Source organism: Homo sapiens, chromosome 6, assembly GCF_000001405.40.
Source record: "Homo sapiens chromosome 6, GRCh38.p14 Primary Assembly".
NCBI lineage: Eukaryota > Metazoa > Chordata > Mammalia > Primates > Hominidae > Homo > Homo sapiens.
Genome location: NC_000006.12, coordinates 136,909,067 through 136,931,034, shown reverse-complemented (window position 1 = coordinate 136,931,034; position 21,968 = coordinate 136,909,067). Strand labels below are relative to the sequence as shown.

The window sequence follows — 21,968 nt, the reverse complement described above, 5'->3', positions numbered from 1 at the left end:
ATACCGTTTCAGTAGATGCTGTGATGAAGTCCATCCTGGCAGATCTAACATGGTTTCTAGAGACTAAGGCAACAGATGAGTCAGGCTAGCAGTCATCACTGGGAAATTAACATGAAAAGTACAAGAGTCAGAGAAGGTGGTTGAAACATGGTAAAAGAAAATCCAGAAGTGGAAGAGACTTGTGTTATGCAGAAGTGAAGCACTCCAAGAAGGAGAAGGGGTAATTGATACTAATTACAGCTGTCGTGGCATGCCAATCTTAATATGCATGGACTCTTGCTCACAATGCACTTGGATTTGAATGTTACCCACATGCATATGTCACCATGGCTGAATGCGGAAGTGGCCAACACTCAACATGCAGTATGGAAAGGCGGGAGTTACAAGAACGGCCAGTAGATTTGGGCACTTTTGTTTTCTCTTGGGAGCTTCCTTAGGAATGTCTAGGTTCCCTTCACAACTTCTGTTTTTAGAGAAATTGAGCAGACTTTTCAAAAGTCTTCATCCAGGACTTCTGGTTACATCTCCAATATATGAAGAACTTAGAAGTGGTTACTTCCATCCTTACAATAAGAAAAAAGATGAACAAAAACTGAAAATCAATGACATTTCTTGGACCAATCAGAGAACTGAGGTCCAATTGCCACCCCTAAACCTGGAGAGAGGTAAATCCAGAAAGTTTATAGATGAGATCTCCTTATCTGGAGCAGAGGCCACTGGGGCCATTGGTCAAAACACTTAAATGGTAATTTTGATAAATTTCTGGAGGCTGAATATGGACTATCAAGAGAAGGAGAAATTCCTGGGGATCACGTTTTCATGGGCCTGACCTCCAGGAGCCCCACAGGTGGTAGAGAGCTGAGAAGGCACCCCTTACCCTTTTGATGGGGGAGGTGAGAGTAATCACTGTGATTACCAGAGCACTCCCCATGACAATACCGGGGCCAATTTTACTAAGACTCGGCTGGGCGCGGTGGCTCATGCCTGTAATCCCAGCACTTTGGGAGGCTGAAGCAGGTGGATCACCTGAGGTCAGGAGTTCGAGACCAGCCTGGCCAACATGGTGAAACCTCGTCTCTACTAAAAATACAAAAATTAGCTAGGCGTGGTGGCGGGCGGCTGTAATCCCAGCTACTCGGGAGCCTGTGGCAGGAGAATGGCTTGAACCCGGGAGGCGGAGGTTGCAGTGAGCTAAGATCACGCCACTGCACTCCAGCCCGGGTGACAGAGTGAGATTCCATCTCAAAAAAAAAAAAAAAAAAAAAAAAAAAAAAAGAAAGAAAGATTACTAAGACTCATGCTAGTGACTACCATGGTCAAAGGCTCACCAGAGCCTTATCCCACCTGGGGAAAGGGCATCTCTCCCATTCTAGGCTCCTCTAGCCTTCGTGTCTCATGTAAGGAGAGGGGGAAACAAGCCAGCAAACACTTGAGAAGGTCAGAGACTAGGGACACAGGCCCACTGAAAGGCTGAAGTTTAATAAGATTGCAGACCACTTCCCCTCCCCCAAACCTTACCACCACACCTGCAGTGGATTCCAGCTGAAAGAGTGGCAATGTGCCTAGCTCTAAGGAAGGAGGACTTCTCAGGGAAGCTCAAAGACAACAGGGAGACAAAAACAAGGACAGTAGAGGAAGTTAGCAGCCTCTGGCACCTACAGTCACAGCAAACATTCAACAGAACCTGACTTCTAGCCAGATTAGCATGAAAATTCACACTAGAGGCCTGTTTGCCTCAGTTTATATTTTCTAATACAGCATGTAACTGCCAGTAAAAAAACCTATAAGGCATGCTAAATAGGCGAGGAAAAAACACATCTGAAGAGACAAAGCAAGTGTCAGAACTAGATTCAGGTATAACACAGTTCTGGAATTATCAGACGGGGAATTTAAAATAACTGTGATTAATATGGTCAGGGCTCTAATGGAAAAAGCAGACACATCCAAGAGCAGATGGATAATTTAAACAGAGAGAAGAAAAACTAAGAATCAAAAGGAAATGCTAGAAGTTAACAAAGACACTGTGACAGAAATGAAGAATGCCTTTGATGGGCTCATCCAAAGACTGAACACAGCCAAAGAGAGAATCAGTGAGCTTGAACATCGGTCAATAGAAAGTTCCCCAACTGAAATGCAAAAAAGTTTTCAGTCAGTTAAGGACTTAAGAGTTTCACCCACTTTTGTCTTCGTGAAGTATTGCTGTTAGGTGCTTAGACCACTGTGTCCTCTGACAATGAGTGGTTGCTGTTGTAGGACTGCTGGTCTTACAAGAGTTCAGGTCAGTGCTCAGCTCTGCTCAGCAACCCCGGTAACATGCATGCATCCTCTCACCTACACAGTTCTGGCAGTCATTGCCTCATTGTTTCTTTATTATTTATTTATCTATTTATTTATTGAGACAGAGTCTCGCTCTGTCGCCCAGGCTGGAGTGCAGTGGCGCGATCTCGGCTCACTGCAAGCTCGACCTCCCAGGTTCATGCCATTCTCTTGCCTCAGCCTCCCGAGTAGCTGGGACTACAGGCGTCCGCCAACACGCCTGGCTAATTTTTTGTATTTTTAGTACAGACAGGGTTTCACCGTGTTAGCCAGGATGGTCTCGATCTCCTGACCTCATGATCCGCCCGTCTCGGCCTCCCAAAGTGCTGGGATTACAGGCGTGAGCCACCGCTCCTGGCCTATTTATTTATTTTTGAGATAAGGTCTTACTCTTGTCACCCAGTCTGGAGTGCAGTGGCATGATCATGGCTCACTGCAGCCTCAACTTTCCTGGGCTCAGGTGATCCCCCCACCTCAGCCTCTCAGGTAGATGGGATGATAAGCACACACCACTACACCTGGCTAATTTTTTTGTATTTTTTGTAGAGGCAGAGTTTCACCATATTGCTCAGGCTGGTCCTGAACTCCTGGGCTCAAGTGATCTGCCCGCCTCAGCCTCCTAAAGTGCTGGGATTACAAGTGTCAGCCACTGTGCCCGGCCTTTCCCCAGTGTTTCTGATTGATCTATTCCTCAATAATCGAAAGCTAGGCCCAGGCACAGTGGTTCATGCCTGTAATTCTAATGCTTTAGGAGGCTGAGGTGAGAGGATTGCTTGAGACCAGGAGTACGAGATCAGCCTGGGTAACATAGTGAGACCTTCATCTCTTTAAAAAAAATTTTTTTTAATTGCCCAGGCATGATGGCATGCAGCTATAGTCCCAGCTACTCGGGAGGCTGAGGTGGGAGGATCACTTGAGCCTAGGAGTTTGAAGCTGCAGTGAACTATGATTGCACCACTGAACTCCAGCCTGGGTGACAGAGCAAAACCTTGTCTCAGTAAAATAAAATAAGGCTAGACAGCATTTAGTGGGAGGGGGCCAGCAACAGGCCCAGCGTTGAGAATGTCTGTCTGACATCATGCTGTGTTTTAGAGACAGATTCTAGTTGGGAAGTGACAGGTGAGCATGAGGCTGGGCCTCAGCCATGAAGAATTGATATAGGAACAGGCTGTCGAAGCAGGGGCCCAGTTGGGCACTAGGTGGGGGTGTAATCTCAGAAACAAGGGAGAATCCAAGTTGTCAGAATGGGGTAGACTGACAAAGACTGGATCAGTCTAGCAACAATGGTGAGTGACTTCCAGTGGAGTCCCACCCATGCGAATATCCTGGAGCTCCTCAGAAGGCCCCTGCCTGCTTGATGCAAGGCCCTACCAGAGCCCTGACTCTGGTCAGGGTGGACCAGAGTCTTGGATTGCCTCCAGTACTACTGACAGTGGAAGAAGGATTACTTTTATGTGTCAACTTGGCTAGGCTGTGGTACCCAGCTGTTTGGTCAAATAGTAGTTTAGATGTTGCTGCAAAGACATTTGTAAGATGCGTCATCCAATTAGTTGAAGGCCTACAGACCAAAGAGCAAAGTTTCCAGAAGTAGCAACATCAATTCTGCCTCAAGACTGCAACATGGAAACCCTGCCTGAGTCTCCCACCTGCCAGCATGGCCTACAGACTTCAGACTGCCCCATCATTACCACTTACTTAAAATCTCACTCTCTTATGGGTTCTGTTTCTCTAGAGAAGTCAAATACAGCGTCTCTACAAGTTCATTGACAGGAAAGAGTTAATCCTTTTGCTATAAAGGTAAACTCACATTTTTAACCAAAGGACATTTTTTTTTTCAGTAAAAAACAATCATTCCACTTATCTGGCAGTGATAGCCACAAGAAATATATACTTCATCCAACTTTGCTGCTTTTCATTAATTCTCAGCTTTATATAGTTGCAACGCGATGTTGCCCTTTGGCATGTTAGCATTAAAATTAACACTTATTTTTGAAGAAGTCATCATAACCCTGGCAAACCATTTCTAACTGCAGTATGTGAGGTCTCCTGCATCTTAAATGGCTTGTGGAGGCACCTCTGGAAATAGTCAATTGCCTGTGGAAACCAGCAAACCAGGGCCAATCACAAACCACAATTACACTTGCTCAGCTGCTTGTGGAGCCAAACTGATGGAGCTGAAACTTCATTTTTGCTTCTGCTTTTTGCTTTGATTTGATTTTTAGAAAAGAAAGAAAAATATAAGATGCTACTATCTGAGAATCTCAGCAACATGCTGGCAGATCTCAGTGCCCCCTCACTCTCAAAGTATCTCTCCTGCCTAGAGCTCACAGAAGGCTTCCTCCTTGGTGGACATGACCATTTATTACTTCTCAGACTCCATGTTAACTGAAATCTGGTGTGGATGGCTTTCGTACCTCAGTGCGATGGAGTGTTTTATCATTTTCTGTTTATTTGTTTGTCCTGTTACCAGGCTGTAGAGCAATGGCGCGATCTCGGCTCACTGCAACCTCCACCTCCCAGGTTCAAGTGATTCTCCTGCCTCAGCCTCCCGAGTAGCTGGGACTACAGGCGCGTGCCACCATGCCCTGTTTGTTTGTTTTTGAGACGGGGTCTCGCTCTGTTGCCCAGGCTGTAGTGTAGTGACACAATCAGAACTCACTGCAGCCTTGACTTCCCCGGCTCAGGTGATCATCCTACCACAGCCTCCTGAGTAGCTGGGACTACAGGTGCACACCAAAATTCTTGGCTAATTTTTGGTATTTTTTGCAGAGATGGGGTTTTGCTACGTTGCTCAGGCTTGCTTGAACTCCTGAGCTCAAGTCATTTGCTTGCCTTGGCCTCCCAAAGTGCTGGGTTACAGGCATGAGCCATTGCACCACACCATTAACAGCTTCCTTCACTGGAAGATGCATTTCTGTTTTTGTTGTTATTTCAAACCAAACAGCTTTGTTAATTTAGGAAGTTTCCAATGGTGCGGCCCCTACACTCGGATACTATGACCACACATTGGAGGCAAACACAAACAACTATACAGCAACAATAGAACATGTGTCTAAAATAAATTTCTAACAATGTATCCTTTAATAGTTAGACTCATACTTTATTTTGACAAATTTAAGATAGAAAAATATCATAATGTGAATATAGCAGTTGCTCTTTTTGTAACATGGTTTGGGATGTGCAGTGAAACTTGAAAGGACTTGCTTTACAGGTGGTCCCTCTTCTGGCTGGGTTTCAGTTAATTCTGAATTATATTCCAGCCATTGCATTTGCTTGAAAGAATATTGGACACAGTAAAAAAAAGAACAGGTTTGGCATTCAATAATAAATATTATAAAGCAATGAACCAAAACAACTTTTAAAATAATTACTGAAAGCAAACTTCAGACTTCATGATTAAAGCTAAGAACTCATATTTTCAAAATAGCTTTAACAGTTTCTATCAATATATAATACAATAATAGGACACTTATTTTTAAAAAACAAGTGAGTAGAATCAGAGTAAATATGATATTTCAGATGACTATAAACAGTAAACATCAATTCAATATATTTATATATCATTTCAGCAATATACTCTTTGCCCAGCTGGCGATAAAAACTGTAGTTCTATCATCAAAAAATGCATCCCTGAATGTCATCTTTGAACTTACTAAGTGCTGTCATCATTTCTACACTCCATCTTTGGAGGGGGTGGCTTAGGGACTCTTGGTACATGCAGATATTTAGTTATGGTTATAATGACAAAAAGTAAATGTGCCAGGAGTCTGAAGCAGAAACGTTGCCTTACTTTGTTAAGTAGCTTCACATTCTTTTGTCTCTGTGATGCCTCAGGTGAAGTCACACTAAATAATTCACACAGGTGCTAATTTTGTTGCTCTGTGTCAGTACCTTTCAGCTTCTTTCTTTTCTTCCCTTCCCCACTCCTCAAAGAATAAAACGGGGAGGCCTCTCATTAAAACACGTCATTTCTAACATATAAAATAAGTGTATGCACATAGGTACGTACATGCACCTCCTTCTCAAGGACTGGGTAACTCCTCGTTTTCTATCAAATAATCCTTCTTCATATACCTGGTTCCCCTAACCAACCTCCATACCTCGAGGTAAGCATCTTTTAACGACCTCCTGCTCCCTTCTTCAGAGCTCCCAGCCACCAGCGGGACTCCTCGGGGGCTGCCCCTGACCTCTTGCCTGCTCTCCTGAGCGGGGCCACCTGCTGCCTCCCCACCTTCTGACCGGCCATTTCCTCCCTCCCCGGGCAGCTCCTCCATCACGAACGGCAGCTGGTCTCCACTTAGCTGCGCCTCCTCTCCCCGAGGCTGGGCCTCCAGGTCCTCGTAGTTGCTTTGCTTTCTGGTCTCCATGAACTTGGCCACACAGTAAATGATAGAGCCCAGGGTGTTCACCACCACGCCGGCAATGAACAGAGAGGTGGGCTCCACGTCGCTGAAGGCCACCATGCCCACCGTGATGGTGGCGATGCTCTTCACCACACCCACGAAGCTGGTGGTCACGGCCGAATTGATGTAGGTGCAGTGCAGCGTGGTGAAGTTCATGGCGCAGCCGATCAGGATGCAGGCCACGAAGATGCAGACCATGGCCGGGTCCTTCCAGCCCGGGAAGGTCCAGGCGTGGATGGAGTCGGTGCTGGCGAAGGAGCAGATGACCAGCAGCGGGGTGGCAGAGACGGCGATGACGTACTGCGCGGTGAGCGGCCCGTGCTCGGTGTCTGCGCTGGCCTTCTGGATGAGCACCAGGTAGGCAGCGTGCACCAGCACCGCCAGCACTCCCGTGACGTACCCGATGGGGTCGCCCGTCAGGTCGCCGGCTCCTGCGGCGCACGAGGAGGACGGCCGAGCCCGGGCGGGAAGGAAAAAGAGAGAAGACAGCAGGTTGGCGTGGGCGGGGACCCACGGGGAAAACGCGTCGGGTAGGAAAGGAGACTGGGTTCGCGCCCCAGCTCTGCCCACCGGATTCCTGAGTGACAGACGCCCGCCGTCCCTCGGCCACCCGTGTCAAATGCGACAGCCAAACTCAGTGCTCAGAGCGCCTTCCCGCCATATCCCCGGGTCACTCCATCTTCCTCTGTCCAAGACAAAGGCCCCGGAGAGCGCAGATGCCCTCGGGGCAGGTGCTGTGGCTTCCCCGAGCTGGCACCGAGGTCACTTGGGCGCGTGGTACCTGCACCCCGGAGCCCCTGCCCCGTGGGGCACCAAAGGGAGAGGGAGCCCCAGCCAGTGGCCTGCAACCCGGAGCGGGCCAGGCGCGGGGGAGAACGCCTGTTCTGGCCCCCAGTGAAGCTTCCCCCTGCCCAGGCTCTCGTCTCGCTCAGCACCTGGGTCGTCTGCCCCAGGGCCGCAGCCCCCTGCGCAGCACGAGACACCCCGCAGTAGCCCCGGGAACCCTCAGCTTCGCCCCCATCCCCCACCTCCATTCCAGCCCCTCGTGACCCAAGGAAGTTCACGGCCCCCTCCTTCCGGCTTGGTCCAGGCTTGGAGGACTCCAGCTCCCAGGCTCAGGCGGCCCTCCCACCTCTCCCGGAGAATGGGGTGACAGGGGAAGACCAGGAGAGGGGGCGACAGGAAGGGCGATGCCGGGTGAAGCATGGGCGAGGGTCGGAAGCCAGGACATTAGGGGGCAGGGGGACTTGGTGGGGCGCTGGGGAGCTCTCTGGGTCTCGGAAGTCCCTTTTGCGAGCTGAGCGACCACTCTCAAAGCTCTCCGGCTCTCTCTGCCTCAGTCTCCCCATCTGGAAGTGAGGTCGTTGAACTCAGTGATCCCCGCGGTCTCTGCCCGACGGAGCGGGGTGGGTGGGGTCGGCTGGGGGTCGGCGCGGGGGCCCGCTCACCTGCCAGGGCGGCGCCGCAGGTGGTGATGAGCACCGCCGCCAGCACCCCTGGCGAGGGCGCGCCGTTCTTGAGCACCAGGACGCCGATGAGCATGGTGACCAGGGGCAGGCAGCGCTTGAAGACCACGTACATGGGCAGGCTGAGGCCGCGCAGGGACCAGAGCGTGAGGCTGGACTGCAGCGTGGAGAGCACCGCGACCCCCGCGAAGGAGCGCGCCAGGCTCAGACCGAAGGGGGGCACGGCGATGAGCCCGAGGCGCCGCAGCAGCTCCAGGCTCAGCGCCGCGGTGGAGCTGGTCAGGCACTGCACCAGGGTCAGGAAGGAGAACTGGTAGCGGCTGATGAGGAACTTGAGCAAGATGTTGAGGGAGCCCGAGAAGACCCCGTGCGCGATGGCCACCGAGATGCCCAGCACGCGGCCCCGGCACAGCTGCCGCATCGCGCCGGCCTCGCCGCACCCAGCGGTGGCGGAGCTCCGCGACCTGCGCGCGAGGAGCCGGGAGCAGCGGAGTGAGGGCGGCGGGGGCGCCCGCCCAGCGCGGCGGCGAAGGGCAGGGGGCGCCGGCTCGGCTGCAGAGGGCAGCTCCGGCCAGGCGTTCTTGCGGTTAGGCAGCTCTGCGTCCGACTGCCCCGCAGCTCCGGGGAGGCAGTGACGAGGGCGGGGGACTCCGAAAAGTGGCAGAGGTGGCGGGGGGGCCGGTCTGAGAGGAGTGGCGGGAATCCTAGCGACAGCTATTTGTAAGTGGGTGATGAGCCGCGGTGGGTTGTGTCCCGCGCGGTTTCACCGTCAGGGAAGACGCTCTGCGGAGGGAAGCGGGCGGCTGGGCGCCCCGGGGCGGCTGCCGCAGGGCGGGACGGGGGCTCTTGGGGCGCGGCGCCCCTCTCCCCCCACAGAGCCAGCGGCTCTCGCTTGCCCCTTCCTCCTGGCCGAGGGGCTTGGGTTGGAGGGATCGGGACACAGCTAAAGATTTTAGAAACAGCGCATCAGGATCGAGCGCCGTTTATTGGTCGCAACAAGTGACGGCGCCCCCAGCCCCCTCGCCCCGGCGCTGCAGCGGCTTTTTCCACCCACTGTCCCTCCCGGTGCAGCGGCGGGACCTCGTCCAGCTGCCCGCCAGGGAAGCGAAAACCGTCGGTGCCGGCGGGCCCCCGAAGCTCCCGATCCCGGCGACGACGCCCGGGCATCGGAGGAGGAACCCGCGGCCCGGGGCGCTGTCCAGGGGGTGCCTCGGAGCCCGGAAGCTGGCTCCTTCCGGTGCCAGGCCACGCGCACCGCTCTCCGCACGCCTTCCAGAGAGGGTCCCGGGATTATGCGCGCGGCTCCGGGGAAGCTTTCAGGGGGTTCAGTGGTCTCGCCCAGCAGCGGGGCCTGGTGGCGGGGACACATTCGAACTGAGGCAAAGATGAAAATAAGCAAACGCGCAGAAACGAAGTCACTAACACGAGTAGCCACCACCAGGAACCGAGGAGCTCGGGGGCGACGCTTCCCGAAGCGTGGGAGGGGAGGCTGGCTGCGCTCGCAGAATGGGAGAGTAGAGGGGGAGGGGGCGGGAACCCGGGGCCCCTCACCCTGCAGGGAGACTCCGCGTGGCGTTCTCCGGATCCCAGGGAACTGATCCCAGGGAACCCTCACCCTGCGGGACCGTCGTGGGTTGCTTTCGGAAGCAGGACAACCGGCAGGCGGAGGGCGGGGAGAGTCACCACCTCCCTGGGCCAGGGTTCACACCTTTGCACCACAGGACTTGTGAACTGTGTGTTTCCTATATGACTAAGAGAAAAAGGGAATTCTAATTTTGGAGAGGGAGTAAGGCTTCGGTAACTCTTTGTTCTGAATTCAGTTCCCTGGAAAGTAACTCGCGCGGACCTGTAGTTAAATCAGCAGCAGCCAAGGGTTTCGCTCAGCCGAGGTAACCGTTAAGCGCCAGACAGTTTGGTTTTCAGGCGATTTGAAATTTGTGGCCTTGGCCAGGGTTTGGCTATAAGGGAAAGGTTCGAGATCGCTGCGCTCCAGCACCCCTTTCGTTCACCACCAGCAGTTTATTTCTCTTAGCCCCGGGAATCGTAACCTCCTAACCTTTTAGCGCTGCATCACGTTGCCTTAATAGACAGGATCCATTTCTCTCGTGGTTCTTCTGTTTTCTGCCTCTTACTTCCACCTCTGTGCTGAACGCGACACTTCAGCCAAAGTGCTGAAGTCGTGATTTACCGCAACAGAGGAAGAAAAAAAAATTACAGCAGGGATCAGCAGCATCACAGCAGCCCTTCATTTGGGCCAGCATTTGGGGCTCTGGATGCTCACTTTGGTGAGCTCTAGAGAGCTCGGGGTCAACCAGTCCACCAGCTTATGTGCCCGGTGCCTAGGAGGGCCACGTCCCTGCTCCCGACAGGTGGGCACTCAAAAAAAGTTTGTGAATGGCCCAGGGTGCCAACTTTCCAGGAATAGCTGGAAAGCATTATACTGAAACACGTGCTTCCGGTTCTCTGGGGAGCCCTTGGTTTTTGTTGCTAAAACTTGTGGTTACACACTATTGGCTGTTTAAGTGACTCTGTTTTTGTAGAGTTAATGTTATTTAGGAAATAATGAAGTCTGAAGCACCAGTTCAAATTATGTGTATGTGTGTGGTATAGTCAAAATATATTGATTCAAAACTCTGAAAATTAACTTTTTACAGATATCAGCAAATAACAGATTTCTGCTTCTAGAGACTATCCCAATAAAAGCATGGCTGCTTTAAGCCATCCTAAGTGCATATTATTAATATAAAGAAGTGGCTGCACAAACCTACTTTTGGAATGATTCATTTCTGCCCGCAATTATAATTGCATCCATTTGTGATACTAACATTAGGTAAAAGATTTGGGGCTGATTCAGCTATCTTACTCTTCTCATTTATGCAAGACAATTTAGCTTAATATTTGAAACCTACAGAGGCATAAAACCGCACATTTTCTCCACTTTGTTGCATGCAATTCTTTTGGAAAGAAAAAAACCTTAACCCCCATCTCCCACAAAACCAGATACTAGATGAGCTCCTTTTAAAAATTGTGAAAAATTAAGAATACCATGTTTAGCGAGGTTAAATGATCTAGATGAATAAAAATGTAGATCTAAAGGTTAAATAGCTATTTGACCTATTGGTATCAGGGTACCAAGGGTCTAGACTCAAGCACATCACCTTTGGAGCTACTTAATAAATATTAATGACATTAAATAAATCCTTTAGTTTATCCATTCATTCAACAAACATATAGTACAAGTATTTTGTGCTAAGTATTCTGTTAGCCACAGAGGACTTAAAGATGAACACAGCGCCTTCATCCTTAGCAACAGTGGGATTGTGTGGCAGAAAAGGGGGGAGCGCCAGGAGGGCAAGTACATCAGCTTGACAGCAGTAGCAGACAAAGCTTCCTGGAGAAGGAATTACAGTGTCTTTGAAAACTTACTTCATTATTTCTAATTATAAAAGTAACACAGGCTCATTGTGGTACATAAAAGAAAAACAAATTTATAATTAAGTAAACGCGCTCTCTTCAGTGTTCACCATCCCCAACCTTACTACACAGAGCTTGCTGTGTTCAGTGTGGAAACTTTCAGTCTTTTTTGTATGTATGTTTATACACACGCAAACTCCTCCTTTAAAAAAATAACAAAACTAGGATATCATATATATTTGTCTATAATTTCCTACTTTAAAAAGCGTATTATGGTAATTAGCCTTCTAGATAGTCTCCAGTGATACCCGCTTCCTGGTATTCACACCCTTATGTTAACTCCTCCCACGCTGTACCAGGGTTGGTCTGTGTAGCTAACAGAACCTGGCAGAAGTGATGACGGTCACTCCTGACTTTAGGTTATACTGAGACTTCCATCTTGTATGTCCTTTTTTCTCTTGTATCATTGAGTCTGGGGAAGCCGAATGCCACATTGTAGGGACATTCTGCCTATGGAAAATCCCATGTGGTTGAGTAATTGAGGCCTGATAACCATGTGAATAGCTGTGATGTCATGAGAAAACCTGAGCTCAAACAACTCAGTTGTTTCTGGATTCCTGACCATAGAAACTGTGAGATGATAAATGTGTGTTGTTTAAAACTACTAAGTTTTGGAGTGATTTTTTACATAGAAATAGCATATTTTTTCAAATGACTTATTCTTTTCAATAACTGTTCTACAGTATAACCTTTCTGTTGACAGGCATTTGGGTTTTAGCAAACGATGTAATGAATACCCTTGGACATAGCCATACTTCTACAGGTATTTTGGGAAAGGGGGAGAGAGGGAATCCTAGAAGTGGAATTGCTGGGTCAAAGGGTAATTTAAAATTTTGGCCGGGTACGGTGGCTCATGCCTGTAATCCCAGCACTTTAGGAGGCCAAGCCAGGTAGATCACTTGAGGTCAGGAGTTCAAGACCAGCCTGATCAACATGGTGAAACCCTGTCTCTACTAAAAATACAAAAATTAGCCAGGTATGGTGGCACGTGCCTGTAATCTCAACTGCTCTGGAGGCTGAGGCAGCAGAATCACTGAAACCGGGAGGTGGAGGTTGCTGTGAGCCGAGATCATGCGGCTGCACTCCAGCCTGGGTAAAAGAGTGAGACTCCATCTCAAAAATAATAACATAAAATAAAATAAAATAAAATCTTGATTTGTTACCAAATTGCCTTCTAACAAAGCATATAACAGTATTCTCACTTTAACCAATACTAGATATTATCAATATTTTTAATGTTTGCCAAACTGACAAGCAAAAATAAAAAGGGATCTCATTTTTAATTTGCATTTATCATTGAGACAGTCTGACTGAAACTTTTTGAAATGTAGTAAACATTTGTCTCTCCACTTCTGTGAATTATTTATTGATATCCTTGTCCAATTTTTGTCTGGTTGTCTTCTTAGTGATTTTTTTTTTTTTTTTGAGACGGAATTTCGCTCTTGTTGCCCAGGCTGGAGTGCAATGTCTCGATCTCAGCTCACTGCAACCTCTGCCTCCAGAGTTCAAGCGATTCTCCTGTCTAGGCCTCCTGAGTAGCTGGGACTACAGGCGTGCACCACCACCTTCAGCTAATTTTTTATATTTTTAGTAGAGACGGGGTTTCACCATGTTGGCCAGGCTGGTCTCGGAGTCCTAAATTCAGGTGATCCACCTGCCTCGGCCTCCCAAAGTGCTGGGATCACAGGCGTGAGCCACCATGCGCAGCCTTCTTAGTGATTTTTAAGAGCCCTTTGTAAAGTTTGGCTATTAACCACCCATTCTATATAAGTTGCCAGTATATCCTTTTGTTATGTCCTCTTTTAGCTTTGCTAGTGATGTGTTTTGCAATTTTAATTTTTGTATGTTGTCAATCTTATTCTTTAGTTATTTAATGGGATTTTTATTTATTTTTATTTATTATTATTATTTCTTGAGATGGAGTTTCCCTCTTGTTACCCAGGATGGAGTGCAATGGTGCAATCTCAGCTCACTGCAGCCTCCGCCTCCTGGGTTAAAGCAATTCTCCTGCCTCAGCCTCCCAAGTAGCTGGAATTACAAGCACTCGCCACCATGCCTGGCTAATATTTTGTAGTTTTAGTAGTGACGGGGTTTCACCATGTTGGCCAGGCTGGCCTCAGGTGATCCACCCACCTTGGCCTCCTAAAGCGCTGGGATTATAGGCTTGAGCCACCACGCCCAGCCTAATGTGACTTTTAAATTATGGGTAAGAACTTACCAAGCCAAGAGCAGGGCAGTCCAGGCACATGGACCAGCTGAAAACTTGCATCACTTACATGAAGAATTTGTGAGCACACTGGTTTTGTGTGAAGAGAAGCGGTGCTGCAGACAGAGGCAAGGGCTATCCCCAGAGGACCCTGGCTGCTTGGTTAGTAAGCTTGAATTTTTCCCCATAGGTAATCCTATAAGCAGAGAAAGGTTTTATACTGAAATTGATGTAATCAGATTGCATTTGAGATCCGTCTCCGGCAGCTGTGTTGAGGAGGATGGCTCTGAGGACACAGAACTGGAAACAGACACACCATTTAGGAAGCTGCTGCAATTGTCCAGAGAAAAGCTAATGATGGCTTGAACTGGGGCAATGGTGGTTGGATTGAGGGGAAGAGATATAAGGGAGCAGTGATGAGGGGGTAAAAAGGATCTCATTTGATGTGTGTGGAGAAGTGGGAATAAGGGAAGGACCAAGGATGGTGTTTAGGTCTTTAGCTTGACCCAAATGGATCTTTTGTTAACAGCTTGACTTTTGACAACAAATGAAAAGGCATGTGTAGGAGTAAAAGCTGGGTTAGTAGGCAAGTGAGTTTGGTTGGAACAAAATGAATGCAAAGGCTTGTGGGAAACCCAGGTGGGGAAGGTAGGTGTACAGATTTGAGAATATTATTAACATGAAAGTAAAAAACAATTAAGTGGATCAGCATATACAAGGAAAAGCCTGTTAAGTAAAAAATTCGAGTTCATTTTTGGAAGAGCCAAATTATTGCTAAGATACACAGTTAAGAAGTGCCAAAGGCAGAAAGGATAGCTGACTCTCAGCCTGGATCTCCCTGGGTGTGATGGACCTTGGTAGGGTCACTCCAGACTAAGGTTCAGCTTAGCTCTTGAGACTTGGAAACTCAATTCTGTCAGTTCTCTCAGGAATAATCAGGTACAGCCAGAGAGTTCTACATCTTAACTATTTCTCAGTGTGCTAATTTCTGTTATTCCTAAGAAAAGGAGGCTATGTGGCAGGACCATGGGTTTGGATTCAATCATTCCAGATTTCAAATTCGTTTCATTATTTTTTCGCTATTATGACTCCTGAGAACGTTGGCTTCCTTGTCCTGAAAATAAGGAGGGCTACCTTGCAGGGATGTTATAGAGATTAAAAGTGATAACATATATAAAGCATCTTACACGGTGCCCTGACCACAATCAGTAACTGAGTTCCCTGCAGGTGTAGGAGGAGCTTGTGGGGAGGCAGACAAGATGAAAGCTAAGAGCTCAGCAGCCAGGAGACAAATGCTGATTTCCCAACCCGGAAAGAATGACTGGTCATCCTCTGAAGTCCAAATGCTGCTTAGCTTGTGAGCTACCAAGGATTCAAAAATCTTGCACATTGTCTTTCAGGAGAGAATCCAGGTCTGCTCCTCAGAGTTTTCCAATTCTAGTTCCAGGGAACCAACTGGATAAGCATTCACCCACTCTCATATTGATAGACTCCAAGAACCTGAGTTATATATTATGAAGCCAATGATCTGAATATCTCTAACATCCCTGGAATAGAGGGAAAAGAATAAATCAAGGGAGAGGTTAGTTTTTAAATTACAAGTCTTTGTTTCGAAAGATACGTGATAGAACGTTTTGTTAATAAAAATCTCTTGCATTCTAGAAGGAAAGGAAATAATTTCATTTCATTGTAAATATTATCTGGGTTAGATATTTTCTGAGACAAGGTCTGTCACCTAGGCTGGAATGCCTTAGTCTGGGTCACTGCAGCCTCAACTTCCCAGGATCAAGCAATCCTCCTGCCTTAGCCTCCTGAGTATCTGGGACTACAGGCACACGTCACCATGCCTGACTACTTTGGGTTGGATACTTTTAGGGCCTATCACAAATTCTGCTGATACAGAGAACACCCATTGTAGACCCACTTTTACTGACCACACCTTGGTGTAATGCCATTAGTTCATATAGAGGCAAGCAGCAAGAAAAAAGGCTGTCAAACTCATCAGTGTGACAACTCTAAGGATGTGGTTAAGCACCATGTTCCCTGCAGTATACTTAGGTTAAGCAGTGTCCTCTTTATGGGTCCTCTCAAAAGCAATCTGTATTGCTGATTTAAGAACCAAAAAAAAGTGGGCACTGTGGCATGTACCCATAGTCCCAGGTAATTGGGAGCCTGAGGTGGAAGGAGGGCTTCAGCCTAGGAGTTCAAGACCAGTTTTGGGCAACATAGTGAGGCCCCATGCTGAGCCCCTTCTGTTGCCTGTGCCAGGCAGGGTGGTAGGGCCAAGCCTGGCACAAGGACAGAGTCTGCCCTCTAGGCCATAGGCACTGAACTGTGTAACTGTTCAGATTTCCTATTTATGAAGCTAGAAACCTTAGCGGCAAATCTTTGGCCCAGTCAGTAGTAACTTTACAGGACTTTGAGGTATGTATACTCAAGCCCCACTCTTGCCTCCACTTTCTGTCTTTGGTTCCACTTCTTAATTTATGCTGTTGTTTTGTTTTTATATCTTAAGCTGTCTTAAATTTTTTCTGCAACAAGTAAACAAGGAAATCTATAAAGAAGACAATATACATATATTTTAGTTTATTTTTGCTCTGATTATTATGAGCGTATTTTGTTCTTTAAAAAGAACTTAAGAATTATAATCTTTGCTATTTATAGCATATCTTAATATTATGTAGAAAATATAAGTGTTATGCAAAGTAGTTTGTTTTGCTGATTTTTCCTCTTTAACCAACTTTTTTTGTTTTTTTCAGTTCATCTGCACCTAGAGCTTTTTCAAGAAAACTTAGGGAGGTGGCAAGGAGCACGTATAGCTGTACTTAGGCCTGGTTTCAAGGGCAAAAGCTAGAAGCCTTAGTAGGACCTAAAACTTTTTGTTTAATTGACAGTTTAAAAAAATTTTGATATTAGAGAAGTGGGAAGACAAAATTATAGAGTCATGGGTACAATATCTAAAAATGTGTGAATAAATTCTAAGAAAAAAAAAAAAGTAAGCTCTTAGCTCACAGCATTCCATGTTCTTAAAAACATGGCACCAGTCCTTGACAGAATCTCATTGAGTCTATGTGTCAAGCACTGAGTAGATGCTCAATAAACAGCTACTAAATAAAAGAATAAATTAAATATATTCTAGTGTCCTGTTACTGAACCACAGATATATCTATATTATATATAGTACTATATTCACATATACAATGTATTAGAAAGAGCAGTCTTTTGGGGGAAGTTATAAAATGATAAATGATCAATAGATAGTTTATTTATCACAGCAGTGATTATATTTTACATCAAAAATGACAAATTAAAAATGAAATATATCACTATCTATATAAGTATAACCTACTGATCTCCCATATTTTAATCCATTTTATGACCCAGAGACATTTTAATAGATACTACAAGATATATCATAACATTAATTATTTCTTAGAATTTTAAATATGGCTTATGTATCAGGCTTAACGAGTCAGCTAAAGTCTTTATCAGCTCCCTCAAAACTGATTCCAGGGTAAATTGGAAAGATTTGAAATCTGAATAGCATATAAAAGCATAATGTCTATGTTTTCCATAGTTAATTTATTTGCTGTTAGGCAGTTCTTCAGCCAACATCCTCTGTTTCTGACCAAAGTAGTGTATCTCAAGCAGGAATAGTAAGACAAGCAGGGTCATAGATCTTTATTGTTTCATCCCAAGAACAGTCAGCCACCTAGAAAACAAAAATGAAGTAAGAAGAAACGTATTTAGACATACAAAAATTCAAAATTGACAGCAAAAACTCAAGTCATTTAGAGTGTCGTAAATCATCCACTAGTAAACATATTTTTGAATAGGGAAAACATAGGGCTACGTTTTTGATAAAAGGTCCATATTCCCTTTTTAGGATATACCTCAGGGTATTCCAACTGATTCCCATTGATTGAGTATATTCCAATTGGTATATTTCAATTGACTGAGGTTTCCTATAAGAATGTCCCCCACCTTCACTTCACCCAACAGCTACATAATTCCCTACTATCTGATATAAATGTCGAAAAGATACGTTCCAGACTGTGAACAAGATGCTGTGCTCAATATTGTGGGACTGGAGAGGAAGATAAAGTAAAGCTCTTGCCTTCAAAAAATGGCTCATTCAAGACTGAGTGTGGAAGGTGCACTAACAGAGACTCTTAGGGGGACTATATGATTCCAGCTGGGACAGTGTCAGACAACTTCACAATGCCATGGCATTCCCACTGGACCTCTGTAGGAGGCAGACATAAAAGACAAGGACATTCACATCTACAGAGCCATAGGAAAACATGAAGGGAAGAAAGTCCAGGGTGTTCAGGAACTATGCATTAAAAACTTAGTGAATATAGCAATGTCTCCGGGTATAAAATTAATATATGAAAACCACTGTGTTTCTATATACTCGTTTTTTAATAGAAATGGATGAGGCAATTTTTAAAATTTATGTGGAAATGCCAGGACTTAGCCAAAAGAATCTTGAAATGAAACAAAGCTGCACTACTTAACACTAGCTGACTTCCAGACTCAGCACGAAACTACTGTAATCAAGACTGTGCAGGATTAGGATAAAGACAAGTAGATCAAAGGAAGAGAACAGAGTTCAGAAATAGGCCCCACACTTGGACAAATGGCTTTCAACAAAGGTACCAAAACAATTAAAGAGCAAAAGGAAAAAATAGTCTTTTCAATAAATGGTGGCAGAACAACTGAATATCCATAGGGAAAAAAGTGAATCCTGACCCCAACTTTGCACATAAAAATGAATTTGAGATGCACCACAGACCTAAATATAAAAGCAAACTGTATAACACTTTCAGAAAAAAAAAAAGGAAAATATATTCTCAATACAGAGGTAAGTAAAGATTTCTTAGGGATACAAAAAGTAATAATCAAAAATTTGGTAAGTTACACTCAATCAAAAATAAAACTTTTGCTCATCAAAAGACACTGTTAAGAAAATGAACAGGCAAGACACAGTTATATAAAATATTCATAAAATATACACCTGACAACTTGTATCAAGAATACATAAAGAACCAATACAACTCAATAATAAAAGGCAATCTAATGAAAAATGATGGGCAAAAGTAAGCACATAAAAAAGTGCTCAACATCATTAGGGATTAGGGAAATGCAAATAAAAATGACAATGAGATACCACCATATATTCACATTATGGCTAAAATTAAAGATTGACAACACCAAATGTCAGCAGGGATGTGGAACAGCTGTGATCACATACATTGCTGGTAGGGAAGGTATATGGTACCACCATTTTGGAAAACAATTTGGCCGTTTCTTACCAAGTTAAACACATACCTATCTTTTGACCCAGTAATTCCACTCCCAGATATTTGTCCAAGAAAAATGAAAACATATGTTTGCAAAACAATGTAGACACGAATGTTCATAGCAACTTCATTCACGATAGCAAAAAATCGAAAACAAGGCTGGGCAAAGTGGTTCATACCTGTAATCCCAGCATTTTAGGAGGCTGAGGCAGATGGATCACCTCAGGTCAGGAGTTTGAGACCAGCCTGGGCACCATGGTGAAACCCCACCTCTACCTAAAATACATAAAATGAGCCAGGTGTGGTGGTGTGCACCTGTAATCCCAGCTACTAGGGAGGCTGAGGTGGGAGAATCGCTTCAACCTGGGAGGCAGAGGTTGCAGTGAGCCGAGATCATGCCACTGCACTCCAGCCTAGGCAACAGAGTGAGACTCTGTCTAAAAAAAAAGGAAAACAACCAAAATACCCACTAACAAAAGAATCGGTAACAAATTGTAGTAAATTCATACAACAGCATGTGCTCAGCAAAACAAAGGGAGGAATTGCTAACAGGCTCAGTACCACGGGTGAAGCTCACAGGTAAGAGGCCAGAAACAAGTGAGGACATACAGAAGAGTTCCTTATAGAATTCTAAGACAGGCAAAACTCATCTAAGGTAAACAAACAAACAAACAAAAAGTCAGAACAATGTTACTCTTCTCACCTGGAGGGAAGGGTGGGGATAGGGGAGATTGGAAAGGGGTAAAAAGGAAACTGGGGGCTTTCCCAGTTTCCAATAACTGGGATGATGTGAATTTCACAGACGTATCTATTTGTCAAAAATGTATATCTAAGATTTGTAAATTTCAATATATGTGAATTATACCTAAAAATAGTAAAAATAATGTTAGCGATAACTAAACGATGTGTGAGAGTACAGGAATAAATAAAATAAGAATGTTGATAGTTGTTCAAGCTAAGTAATGAAGTTCGTTATCTGATTCTGTTACTTTGTATGTTTTCAAAATTTTCCACAATTTAAAAAAAAGAAGAAAAGAAACAAGGTAGGCAGTAAAATGAAAGATGAAGTAGCAAGAGAGTGCTTTTGACCAAAAGTATTTGCACTCCATTTCCCAGCCTTTCATGCTTATTACAAAGGCTGAAAATTACACAAGAGAAACCTCGTTTTGACTAATGTAATTTCTTGGCTATCACTAATTTTGAATAGTGATAGCCAATCATTCACTACCAATATTCTGAGATCAGAATCCAAGCTACAGAGAGCATTATAGACTTTTTAGTCAAACTTTTAAATTTAAAAACCTCACTCTTCAAGATCTGGTTGTTCCCATTTCATTTCTCATTGCACCGGGCTCACACCTCAAATCCAAGCATGCTGCTTATGCCTCTTCGCTCTTGTTCCTTTACTGATCGCTTCCCTTTAATAACTCCTCTTCTCCCTCCCTTTCTGTCTGCTCCTCTGTCCCCTTTGCCTTGCTCTGCCAGAGATGTCTCTTTTTTAAAAAATCAGTTTAGGTATCATCTCCTCTATGAAGTCATTCATTGTACCCATAATACTTGATTGTACTTATTTTCCCAACTGAAGACAAAGAGTTGTCTTCAGCTCTTTGAGGGCATGGACCATGTCTTATTAGAACATAACTCAATGAATATTGGCTCAACAAATTAATTTCATAGATTACAATTTCAGAGGTTAACTCTGTCCTCATGTTCACAATAGAGTAGCAGAGCTACAGCCAGAACCTAAACCTGTTGAATGTATCCACTAAAACAGTGCCTCATAGAAAAGGCAAACTGAAAACCATTATTTGCCTAATCTTGCAGTTTTCAGTTTTTATACCATAGGACACAAAGATCATTATGTTAAATTACCCCTGTCTCATCTATGCCTATTTTTTTCAAGTGCTGGGCCTTCCCACATGTTAAGCATCCGCTACTGGAGAGAAGAGAATCAGAGAAATAAGACTTAGGTTTCTAGTGCAAGGTATCTATAAATTATGTTTCTGAAACCTTATTCGGCACTCTCCAATCCAGCTTCTTATTTATTCAGGACTTATAATAACTACCAAATGTCAAGGCCACTGATTCAGCAAATGTTCATAAATCTATACTTAATTGGATTAAGATAGATCTAAAACTGCAATGATATAGAATTATGAATAGATTAATTCAAATTGATGAAAATAGTATTCCTCTATTTGTTAATTAAGCCCTATCTGGTTCTACAAATTTAAGCAAGCTAACAATAAAGAAAATAATAATAAGGTAAGAAAAAAGCACTTTACTAACTAACAAAGAGGCTCTAGATTCTCCAAGGTTGCTATGTAGGAACTTCCTGGTAAGGAAAAACTATTGTGCCATGTGGTCCCCAGGGGACCTCTTATTAATTATCACTGCCACTGCAATGGCTTCTGGTAGCACTGCAAGATTTTGTTGAGTAGAGAGAGCCCCTCACATAATAAAAAGCATCCAATTAGGTGTGAGGTCAGAGATGTGGGTAAAAGCAACAAGTTTTATGGGATTTGAAGGATATATATTTTGTTTGTTTGTTTTTAATTTCAGGAATATTTAGAGAAGTTTCACAGGGAGCTTGCCTTTGTGTCCTAAGAACTGTTTGTCAAATATTCCTCAGAATTACAAAGCTATCTAAAAGATAATTTATGTATACACCTATTCATCCATTTATTCAACAAAGACTTATTAAGAACCTCCTCTGTGTCAGAAGTATGTACAGGTTACGACAATAAACACAAGGGTCCTGGTCTCTGGCTCCACAGATCTTGATTGTAATGGAGAG

At 45.0% G+C, this 21,968-nt stretch overlaps 2 protein-coding genes across 4 annotated transcripts in view, besides 1 other annotated feature; both read right to left on the bottom strand.

Moving 5' to 3' along the window:
• Nucleotides 1-5,374: 5,374 nt before the first annotated feature.
• On the bottom strand, nucleotides 5,375-8,734 carry SLC35D3 (solute carrier family 35 member D3). The gene is made up of 2 exons (NM_001008783.3): nucleotides 8,168-8,734; nucleotides 5,375-7,150 (listed from the first exon to the last, which is right to left on the bottom strand). Exons 1-2 carry the CDS (start codon nucleotides 8,604-8,606, stop codon nucleotides 6,339-6,341), a joined length of 1,251 nt encoding a protein of 416 aa, NP_001008783.1. The 5' UTR covers nucleotides 8,607-8,734; the 3' UTR covers nucleotides 5,375-6,338.
• Nucleotides 9,206-9,712: an enhancer, noted in NCBI's record as "H3K4me1 hESC enhancer chr6:137242461-137242967 (GRCh37/hg19 assembly coordinates)". NCBI's record gives its function as "activates a minimal SCP1, AML or CMV promoter by ChIP-STARR-seq in primed H9 embryonic stem cells {active_cell/tissue: H9 hESC(primed)}" and the evidence as "EXISTENCE:reporter gene assay evidence [ECO:0000049][PMID:30033119]".
• The window catches only part of PEX7 (peroxisomal biogenesis factor 7), a 91,343-nt gene continuing 86,475 nt past the window's right edge, over nucleotides 17,101-21,968 (bottom strand). For all 3 annotated transcript variants that reach the window (NM_000288.4, XM_006715502.3, NM_001410945.1), the window contains one exon: nucleotides 17,101-17,577. In NM_000288.4, coding sequence (NP_000279.1) covers nucleotides 17,509-17,577 — 69 coding nt within the window. In that variant the 3' untranslated portion in view covers nucleotides 17,101-17,508. The remainder of the gene's footprint in view (nucleotides 17,578-21,968) is intronic.